The sequence below is a fragment of the Homo sapiens genome, chromosome 4, assembly GCF_000001405.40.
Source record: "Homo sapiens chromosome 4, GRCh38.p14 Primary Assembly".
Lineage (NCBI taxonomy): Eukaryota > Metazoa > Chordata > Mammalia > Primates > Hominidae > Homo > Homo sapiens.
In genome coordinates this window covers 85,210,775-85,223,346 of record NC_000004.12, presented here as the reverse complement: position 1 = coordinate 85,223,346, position 12,572 = coordinate 85,210,775, and positions in this window count along the sequence as shown.

Here is a 12,572-nt window from a genome sequence, read left to right as displayed (position 1 = left end):
CCCAGCACATTCCCAGCTATGGTGGCTATGGTGAGAGACTCCTGTTTGTATCTCTGGGTATACCCTGTATACCTCCTATTTGTATCTCTGGATATATCCTGTTTGTACCTCTGGATACAAAGAGGATCGCTGGATCCTCCAAGGACCTACAGGAACTAATCTTCCTGAATGAAAGATCAGAAATCTGGATGGCTTAGCTACTAGTTGATCACACAGGCCTAGGGCATTGAGTAAACATACATGGTAGTGGTTACATTGGGCTGTGGGTGACAGCCAGTGCTATGCTGGCTTCAGGTCTGACCCAGCACAATCCCAGTGGTGGTGGCCCCAGGGATGCCTGCATCACCATCACCAGTTCCAGATGGCTCAGCATAGAGAGAGAGACTCTATTCGTGTGGGAGAAAGTAAGAGAAAAGAACAAGAGTCTCTGCCTGATAATTTAGAGAACGCTTCTGGATCTTATCCAAGACCACCATGGCATTATCTCTATAAGTCTACAAAAACCACAGCTTTATTGAACTTGGGGCTGACGTCCCTTCAAACAAATTGAAAGCCTTCTCAGGAAGGACAGGTACAAACAAGCCCAGACTACAAAGACAACAGTAAGTAACTAACTCTTCAATGCCTGGACATGGATGAACATCTACAAGCATCAAAGTTACCCAGGAAAACATGACTTCATCGAATAATAAATTACCAGGGAAAAATCCTGGAAAGACAGAAATAGGTGACCTTTCAGACAGATAATTCAAAAGAGTTGTGTTAAGGAAAATAAAAAAAAATTCAAGATAACACAGAGAAGAAATTTGGAATCCCATCAGATAAATTTAACAAAGAGATTGATATAATTAAAAATAATCAAACAAATTCTAGAGTTGAAAAATGCAATTAACATACTAAAGAATGCATCACGGTCTCTTAATAGTAGAATTGATGAAGCAAAAGCAAGAATTAGTGAGCTTGAAGACAGGCTATTTGAAAATACACAATCAGAGGAGACAAAAGAAAAAATTTAAAAAATGAAGCACACCTACAGAATCTAGAAAACAGCCTCAAAAGGTAAATCTAAGAGTTATTGGCCTTAAAGAGGAGGCAGAGAAAGAGACAGAGGTAGAAAGTTTATTCAAAGAGATAATATCAGAGAACTTCCCAAACCTAGGTAAAGATATCAAAATCCAAATAAAAGAAAGGTATAGAACCCCAAGCAGATTTAACCCAAAGAAGACTACCTCAAGGCATTTAATAATCAAACTCCCAAAGGTCAAGGATGAAGAAAGGATTATAAAAACAGTATAAGAAAAGAAACAAAGCACATACACCGGAAAGCTTCAATACAACTGGCAGCACACATTTCAGTGGAAACCTTACAGGCCAGGAGAGAGTGGGACGACATATATGAAGTGCTGGGAAAAGGAAACCCTACCCTAGAATAGTATATCCAACAAAAAATTTCCTCAAGCATGAAGAAGATACAAAGACCTTTTCAGAAAAATAAAGGCTGAAGGATTTTGTCAACAGGACAAGTCTAGACCTAGTTCTTATAGGACTAGACTTGTCCTATAAGAAATGCTAAAAGGAGTTATTCAATCTGAAAGAAAGGGACGTTAATGAGGAAGAAGAAATTATGTGAAGGTACAAAACTCACTGGTAAAAGTAAGCACACAGAAAAACAAATGTTATAGTGCTGTAATCATGGTGTATAAACTACTCATGTTAAGTAGAAAGACTAAAAAATGACAAATCAAAAATAATAACTACAACAACTTTTTAAGACATAATCCAATAAGATATAAAGAGAAAGAAAAAGCTAAAAGATGAGAAAATAAAGTGTAGAGTTATTATTTTCTTTTTGCATGATTCTTTGTTTCTTTGTTTATGCAATCACTGTTGTCATCAGTTTAAAACAATGGGTTATGAGATAGTATTTACAAGCCTTATGGTAACCTAAGATAAAAAAACATACATATCTGTGATAAATATTGAAGCAAAAATACTCAACAAAATACTAGCAAACTGAATTTAACAATACATTAAGAAGATCATTCATCATGACCAAGAGGAATATATCCCTGGGATGCAAGAATGTTTCAACATACACAAATCGATGTAACATGTCATATCAACAGAATTAAGGACAAAAACCATACAATCATTTCAACTGATGCTGAAAAAGCATTTGATAAAATTCAATATCCTATAATGATAAAAGCCCTAAAAAAACTGAGTGTAGGAGGAACATACCTCAACATAATGAAAGCCATGTATGATAGATTCATAATTAATATTATATGGAATAGGGAAAAACTGAAAGCCTTTCCCCTAAGATCTAGAACACAAATATGCCCGCATTCATCACTGTTATTCAACATAGTATTGGAAGTCTAAGCTAGAGGAATCAGACAAGAGAAAGAAAGGGAATCAAAATTGGAAAAGTGAAATTATCCTTGTTTGAAGATGATACGATCTTCTATTTGAATAAACCTAAAGACTCAATTTAAAAACTATTAGCACTGAAAAAAAATTCAGTAAACTTGCAGGATACAAAATCAACATACAAAAATCAGTAGCATTTCTATATTCCAACAGTGAACTTCTGAAAAAGAAATTTTAAAAGTAATTTCTTTTACAAAAGCCGCAAATAAAATTAAACACCTAGGAATTAATTACAGAAGTAAAAGATCTCTATAATTAAGATTATAAAACACTAATGAAAGAAATTTAAGAGAACACAAAAAATATGGAAAGCTATTTCATGTTCATGGATTCAATAACTATATTGTTAAAATGTCCATACTACCTGTATTATGTCATTCTTGTATTGGTATAAATCTTTGAGACTGGGTAATTTATAAAGAAAAGAGGTTTAATTGGCTCATGATTATGCAGGCTTTAGAGGAAACATAGCACTGACGTTACTGGGCTTCTGGGGAGCTGCAGGGAACTTTTACTTATGGCAGAAGGTGAAGCAGGAGCAGGCATCTCACGTGGCAAAAGCAGGAACAAGACAGGGGGAGGTACCACACTTTAAAACAACCAGTTTCCAAGAGAACTCACTCACTATCACAAGGACAGCACCAAGCCATGAGGGATCCACCCTCATGACCAAAACACCTCCCACCAGGCCCCACCTCCAGCATTGGGAATTATAATTCAACATGAGATTTTGTCAGGGACAAATATCTAAACTATATCACTCTGTTCCTGCTACCCCACCAATCTTATGTTCTTCTCACATTGAAAAATACAATTATACTTTCCCAACAGTTGCCTAAAGTCTTAAATCATTCCAGCATTAACTCAAAAGTCCCAGGTCCAAGTCCAAACTCTCATCTGAGACACATCTCCTATCTGTGATCCTGTAAAGTCAAAACAAGTTATTTATTCTAAGATACAATGGGGTTATAAGCATTCCCATTCCAAAATGGAGAAGTCAGCCCAAAGGGGCTTATGCAAGTTCAAAACTCAGCAGGGCTGTCATTAAATTTTAAAACTCCAGAATAATATCCTTTGACTACATATCCCATATCCAGGGCAGACTAATGCAAGAAATGGGCTCCCAAGACCTTGGGAAGCTCTGCCCCAGTGGCTTTGGAGGGTTCAGCCCCAATACATGCTCTCACAGGTTGTCGAGTGGCTGCAGCTTTTCCACACTGAGGGTACAAACTGGTGGTGGATCTACCATTCTGGGGTCTGGATCACAGTGGCCCCCTTCTGACAGCTCCACTATGCAATGTCCCAATGAAGATTCTGTGCAGGGGCTCCAACCTCACATTTCTCTTCTGCACTGCCTTAGTAGAGGTTATTTTTGAGGGCTCTGTCCCTGCAGCAGGCTTTTGCCTGAATACCCAGGCTTTTCCATACATCATCTGAAATCTAAGCACAAGGTGCCAATCCTCCACCACTCTTGCACTCTGTGCACCTGCAGGCTTAACACCATGTGGAAACTGCCAAGGTGTATGGCTTTGGCCCTCTAGAGTGGCAGTCCAAGTGTAACTAGGACCCTTGGAGCCACAGCTGAAGCTGTAGCATATGGGATACAGGGAACAGCATCCCAAGACTACACAGTGCAGTGTGGCCCTGGGCCTGACCTAGAAAACCATTCTTTTCTCCTAAGCCTCTGGGCCTGTGATGGGAGGGGCTGCTGTGAAAGTCTCTGAAATGCCTTTGAGGCCCTTTCCCCAATGTCTTGGATATTAGCACTTGGTTCCCTTTTAATTATGCAAACATCTCTAGCTAGTTGTTCCTCCTTAGCCTGCTTGAATTTCTCTTCTGAAAAATCTTTTTCTTTTTTTGAAACATGGCCAGGTTGCAAATTTTCTGAACTTTTATGCTCTGCTTCCTTTGTATATTCCAACTTTAAGTAATTTATTTGCTTCTGCATCTGAGTCCAGAATGTTAGAAGTAACCAGGCCACATCTTGAATTCTTTGCTGCTATAAAATTTCTTCCACCAGATACCGTAAGTCATCACTCTCAAGCTCAAACTTTCATGGATCCCTAGGGCATAAATAGAATGCAGCCAAGTTCTTTGCTAAGGCATAACACAAGTAATCTTTTCTCCAGTTCCCAATAAGTTATTCACTTCCATGTGAGACCTTAACAGCCTAGCCTTCACTGTCCATATCACAATCAGCATGTTGATCACAACCATTTAACCAGTGTCTAAGAAATTCCAAACTTTCCCTCATCTCCCTGTCTTCTTCTAGGCCCTCCAAATTCTTCCAACCAACCTCTTCTCATGACCCGATTCCAAAGTTGCTTCCACATTTTCAGGTATCTTTATAGCAATGCCCTGCCCCTTGGTACCAATTTTCTTTATTAGGACATTCTTGCACTGCTATGAATAAATTCCTGAGACTGGGTAATTTATAAAGGAAAGAGGTTTAATTGGCTCATGGTTCTGCAGGCTGCACATGAAGCATGATGCCAACATTTGCTCACCTTCTAAGGAAGCCTCTGGGAGATTTTACTCATGGCACAAGATAAAACAGGAGCAGGCACTTCACTTAGAGAAAGCAAGAGCAAGAGAAATAGTGGGGATGGAGGTGCCACACTCTACAACAACCAGATCTCAAGAGAACGCACTCACTATCAGGAGGATAACACCCCAGCCATGAGGGATCCGGCTCCATAATCCAAACACCTCCTACTAGGCCTCATCTCTAACATTGAGAATTATAATTTAGCATATGATTTAGGCAGAGACAAACATCAAAACTATATCACTATCTGAAGCAATCTACAGATTCAATACAATCATTATCAAAATACCAATGACATTCTTCACAGAAATAGAAGAAACAATCCTAAACATTCTGTGGAACCATGAAAAACCCAGAATAGCAAAAGCTGTCCTAAGCAAAAAGAACAAAACTGGAGAAATCACATTACCTGACTAAATTATGCTACAGAACTATAGTAAACACAATAGCATGGTACTGGCATAAAAACAGATACATAGACCAAATTAACAGGTTAGAGAACCCAAAAACAAATCCACACACCTACAGTGAACTCATTTTTGACAAAGATGCAAAGCATCTGTGAAGATTGTCTCTCCAGTAACCAATGTTGGGAAAACTGGATATCCATGTGCAGAAGAATGAAGCTAGACCCCTATCTTTTTTCCATCCACAAAAATCAAATAAAAAAATAGACTAAAACCTTAAATCTGAGACCTCAAACTATTAAACCACTTAAACAAAAAATTGGGGGAAAATCTCCAGGACATTTGACTGGGCAAAAATTTCTTGAGTAATACCCCAAAAACACAGACAACTAAAGCAAAAATGGACAAATGGGACCACATCAAGGTAAAAATCTTCTGCACAGCAAAGGATACAATCAACAAAGTGAAGAGACAATCTACCAAATTGAAGAAAATATTTGCAAACTACCTACCTAAGGGATTTAAAACCAGAATATATAGGGAGCTCAAACAACCCTATAGGAAAAAATCTATTGAACCAATTTAAAAATGGGTAAAATACTTGAAGACATTTCTCAAAAGAAGACATACAAATGGCAAACAGGCATATGAAAAGGTGTTCAACATCACTGATAATCAGAAAAATGCAAATCAAAACTACAATGAGATATCATCTCTATCAGGGGAATCCGCCCCAATATTTCAATGTAGGTTCTTTCTATTTTCCCTAAATGTCAGCCAGTCTGAGAAATAAAGAGAAAGGATACAAAGAGAGGAATTTTACAGCTGGGCTCCCGGGGATGACATCACATATCGGTAGGACCATGATGCCCACCTGAGCCGCAAAACCAGCAAGTTTTTATTAGGGATTTCAAAAGGGGAGGGGATGTATGAACAGGGAGTAGGTCACATGCTTCAAGGGGCAAAAGGCAGAGCAAAGATCGCATGCTTCTGAGGAAACAGGACCAGGGCAAAATCGGAAACTCCTGATAAGGTTCTGTGTTCAGCGGTGCACGTATTGTCTTGATAAACATCTTAACAGAAAACAGGGTTTGAGAGCAGAGAACTGGTCTGACCTCAAATTTACCAGGGCTGAGATTTCCCAATCCTAGTAAGCCTGAGGGAGGGTACTGCAGGAGACCAGGGCGTATCTCAGTCCTTATCTCAACCACATAGGACAGACACTCCTAGAGCGGCTGTTTATAGACCTCCCCTCAGGAACGCAATTCTTTTCCTAGGGTCTTAATATTATATTCCTTGCTAGGAAAAGAATTTAGCAATATCTCTCCTACTTGCACAACTGATATAGGCTCTCTGCAAGTAGAAAAATATGGCTGTTTTTGCCCGACCCCGCAGGCAGTCAGACCTTATGGTTGTCTTCCCTTGTTCCCTAAAATTACTATTATTCTGTTCATTTTCAAGGTGCACTGATTTCATATTGTTCAAACACACGTTTTACAATCAATTTGTACAGTTAATGCAATCATCACAGGGTCCTGAGGTGAGGTACATCCTCAGCTTATGAAGATAACAGGATTAAAAGATTAAAGTAAGGACAGGCATAAGAAATTATAAAAGTATTCTTTGGGAACTGATAAATGTCCAGGAAATCTTCACAATTTATGTTCAGAAATTGCAGTAAAGATAGGCATAAGAAATTATAAAAGTATTAATTTGGGGAACTAATAAATGTCCATGAAATCTTCACAATTTATGTTCCTCTGCCGCAGCTCTAACTGCTCCCTCCATTCAGGGTCCATGACTTCCCGCAACACATCTCACCCCAGTTAAAGTGGCTTATATCCAAAAAACAGATGATAACACATGCTAGGGAGGATGTGGAGAATACACAAGCCTCATATACTGTTGATGGAAATGTAAATTTGTACAACCACTGTGTAGAACATTTTGGAGGTTCTTCACAAAACTAAAAACAGAGCTACCGTATGATCCAGCAATCTGACTGCTGGATATGTACACAAAAGAGTGGAAATCAGTATACTGAAGAGATAGCTGCACTTGCATGTTTGTTGTAGCACTATTTACAGTAGCCAGGATTTGGAAGCAACGTTGAAGTGCTGAACTGTCCACTTGACCTTGAAGTGTTGAAGTGTCCATTAACAGATGAATGGGTAAAGAAAATGTGGTATTTATACACAATTGAATACTATTTAACCATAAAGAAGAATGAGATCCCGTCATTTATAGCAAAATGGGTGGAACTGGATATCATTATGTTAAGTGAAATAAGCAAGGCATAGAAAGGCAAACATCACATGTTCTCATTTATTTGTAGGATCTAAAAATTAAAAGAATTAAGCTCATGGAGACAGAGTGCAGAACAAAGGTTTCCAGCAGACAGGAAGGGTGGTAGGGAAGGTTGTAAGGGAGAGGTAGGGATGGTTCATAGGTACAAAAAAATAGAAGAATGAACAAGACCTAGTATTTGATAGCACAACAGATTAGTATGGTAAACAATAATTTTGTATTCCATGTTAAAATAACAAAAAAAAAGTAACTGGATTGTTTGTAACACAAAAGATAAATGTTCAAGGGTATGGATACCCCATTTTCCATGATGTGATTTTATACATTGCATGCCTGTATCAAGATATATGTACCCCATGAATATATACACCTACTATGCACCCACAACAATTAAAATTTAACATAAAGTAAAAGTTGAAGTTTAAGCAAATTTTTTAAACAAGAAAATACCTGAAGAGAAACATTAACAAAAACACCACACACCAATATTTTTGGAATACAGCAAAAGCAGTATTATTCTGCTCAGGCTTCTATAACAAAATTCCATAAACTTTGTTGCTTGTAAGCAATAGAAATATATTTACCCAAATTCTGGAGGCTGGAAAGGTCGAGCTCAAGGCACTGGGAAAATCTGTATCTGGTGAGGGCCCTTTTCCTAGGTCATAGATGGCACCTTCTCCTTATGGCCTTACTTTAAGGAAGGAAAGAATTTTGATTCCTTCAGCCCTTAAAAGAACAGTAATCCCATTCATGAGGTCTCCACCTTCATGATCTAATTATCTGCGAAATGTCCTACTTCCTAATACCATCACGCTAGAAATTAGGTTTCAATATATAAACTTTGAGGGACACAAACATTCAGGCCATAGAAAATACGGATGGAAGTTTATTATAATAAATACTTACATTTTAAAAACAAGAAATATCTCAAGTAAACCACCTAAATATACTCTTCAGGGATCTAGAAAAAAGAAAAGCTAAGCCCAAAATTAGCAGAAGGGAGAAAATTTAAAAACGATTTGAGCAGAAATAAATAACATAAAAAAACAGAAAAACAATAAAAATTTATGAAATTTGGAGTTGGTTTTTTTGAGAAGATGCGCAAGACAAGCCATGAACTAAACTAAGAAAAAGAGAGAAGACAGTATTAAATAAAATAAGAAGTGAAAAAGAAAACATTACAACTGATACCACAGAAATAAAAAGAACCAGGATCAGTTATGAACCATTACACACAAACAAGCTAGATAACCAAAAAGTAGTGAATAATTCCCTAGAAGCATACGGCATATCACAATAGATAATAAAGAGACAGAAAGTCTGAGCAGATCTATAACAAGATTGAATCAGTGATTTAAAATATTCCAACAAATAACAGCCCAGAACTAGATATCTTCAAAAGTAAATTCTATCAAACATTTAAAAAACAACAAATGGTATCCTTTTCAAACTCTTCTAAAATACTGAAGGGAAGGAAACTCTCCCAAAATCATTTTATGAAGCCATACAAGGATACCACAAGAAAAGAAGCTACAGGCCAATATTCCTGGTGAAAACAGATGTAAGAAAGCTTCAACAAAATACTAGCAAACCAAATCCAATAGCATATAAAGGATAATACACCATGACAAAGTGTATATACTCATCCCAGGATAAATCTCTTGGAATGCAAGCCCATTTCAACATACAAAAAACAATTAATATGATAAACCTCATTAAGAAAATAAAAGATAAAATCACATGATCATCTCTATAGATGCAGGAAAAGCATTTGATAAAATTTAATAATTTTTCGTGATAAAATTCTCAACAAACTAAGAATAGAAGAAAATTACCATAATGTAATAAAGGCCATATATGAAAACCCACAGCGAGCCTTATATTCAGTAGTGAAAAGCTAAAAGATTTTTAGAGACAAAAAGAATAAAAGTCTTAGGCATAAACCTAACTTAGAAATACTTTTATACTAGAAACTACAAAACACTGGTGAAAGAAACTGTAGAAGACACGACAAATGAAAAGCCATTACGTGTTCAAGAATTGAAAGACTTAATATTGTTAAAATGTTCACTGGTACAAAAACAGGTGCATAGGCCAATGGAATAGAATAGAGAGCCCAGAAATAAGGCCACATGCCTACAACCATCTGATTTTTTAACAAAGCTGACAAAAAAAAAAAAAAAGCAATGAGGGAAAGACTCCCTATTCAATAAATGGTGCTGGGATAGCTGGCTAACCACATACAGAAGACTGAAACTGGAGCCCTTCCTTGTACCTTATACAAAAATCAATGCAACATGAATTAGACTTAAACATAAAACCCAAAACTATAAAAACCATGGAAGGCAACCTAGGCAATACCATCATGAACATAGGTACAGGCAAAGATTTCATGACAAAGACACCAAAAGCAATCCCAATGAAAGGAAAAATGGACAAATAGTATATGCTTAAACTAAAGAGCTTCGTACAGCAAAAGCAACTTCTTTTGTACATCAAAAGAAACTGTCAACAGAGTAAACAGACAACCTACAGAATGGGAAAATGTATTTGCAAACTATATATCTGACAAAGGTCTAATACCCAGCATCTATAAGGAACTTAAACAGATTTACAAGCAACAAACAACCCCACTAAAAAGCGGGAAAAGGACATGAACACATTTCAAATGAACACTTTTCAACAAGCATACAACAAAAAGCTCAATATCACTGATCATTAGAGAAATGTAAATCAAAACCACAATGATATATCATCTCACACCAGTCAGAATGGCTATTACTAAAAAGTCAAAAAATAAAAGATGCTGGCAAGGTTATGGAGAAAAGAAACACTTATACACTGTTGGTGGGAGTGTAAATTAGTTCATCCATTGTGGAAGACAGTGTGATGATTCCCCAAAGAGCTAAAAGCAGAACCACCATTCGACCAAGCAATCCCATTACTGAGTATAAACCCAGAGGAACATAAATCATTCTACCATAAAGACACATGCATGTAAATGTTCGTTGCAGCACTATTCACAATAGCTAACATATGGAAACAACCTAAATGTCCATCAACATATGAATGAATAAAGAAAATGTGGTACATATACACCATAGAATACTATGTAGCCATAAAAAAGAATGAGATCATGTCTTTTGTGAGAATATGGATGGAGCTGGAGGTGATCATCCTCAGTAAACTAATGTAGGAAATGAAAACCAAATACCACATGTTTTCATGAGAGCTAAATGATGAGAACTTATAAACACAAAGAAACAACAGACACTGGGATCTACTTGAGGGTGCAGGCTGGGAGGAGGGAGAGGAGCAGAAAAGATAATTATTGGGACTGGACTTAATTCCTGGATGATAAAATAATCTGTATAACAAACCCCTGTGACATGAGTTTATCTAGGTAACAAACTTTCACATGTACCCCAAACCTGAAATGAAAGTTTAAAAAGATGTTTATAGCACCTAGAGCAATCTACAGATTAAATGTAATATCTGTCAAAATCCCCAATGGTATTTTTTACATAAATAGAAAAAAAATTCTACAATTCATATGGAAACACAAAAGACCCTGACAAAGAAAAACAAAACTGGAGGCATTACACTTCTTGATTTCAAAATATATGACAAAGCTCCAATAATTAAAACAGAATCATACAGGCATAAAGATAGACATGCAGACCAACAAAAGAGAATAAAAAGCCCAGAAATAAATCCACATATATGTGGTCAACTGATTTTTAACAAGAGTACCAAGAACACATAATGAGAAAAGTTGAATATCTTTGAAAAATTATGCTGAGAAAACTGGATATCCACATGCAAAAGAATGATATTGGACCTTTATCTTACACCACATACAAAAACCAACTCAAAATGGATTAAAGATGAACCTAAGACCCAAAATTATGAAACAGAGAAAAAGCTTCATGACTTTTGTCTTGGCAATGATTTCATGGATAGAACACCAAAAGTATAAGAAACAAAAACAAAGACATGTTAACTATATCAAGCTAATAAACTTCTGCACAGAAAGCAACAATTAACAGAGTGACAAGGCTCCCTATGGAATGGGAGAAAATATTTGCAAACCATATACCTAATAAAGGTTTATCTCCACAATATATAAGGAAATCCTACAACTCAATAGTTATACACACACACACACACACACACACACACACACATATATATATACCTAATTGTAAAATAAGCTAAGATCTTGAGTAGATATTTTCTTTTTCTTTTTTTTTTTTTTTTTGAGATGGAGTGTCGCTCTGTCGCCCAGGCTGGAGTGCAGTGGCGCAATCTCGGCTCACTGCAAGCTCCGCCTCCCAGGTTCACGCCGTTCTCCTGCCTCAGCCTCCCGAGTAGCTGGGACTACAGGCGCCCGCCACCACCCCCGGCTAATGTTTGTATTTTTAGTAGAGACGGGGTTTCATCGTGTTAGCCAGGATGGTCTGGATCTCCTGACCTCGTGATCTGCCCGCCTTGGCCTCCCAAAGTGCTGGGATTACTGAGTAGATATTTTCAAAAGAAAACATACAAATAGTCAACAGTTATATGAAGAGGTGCTTAACATCACTAATCATCAGAAAAACACAAATCAAAACTACAATGAGATATCACCTCAAACTGTGGCTGACTGTGGTCTCAATTACTTGAGACCGTCACTACAACAGTTACTACTGTCACTACTTGAGACCGTCATTACAAGATGAATGAAGGGACAAATGTAGAAATAACAACAACAACAAAGAAACAAAAGAAACTGTTTTAAAGGAAGGGGGACCTAGGAAGAAGAAAATAGCTCCCCGCTTCTAGTGAGCAAAGGCAGCCACCGCCCTGAGCTTCTTCAGCCCTTCATTTTTATTGGG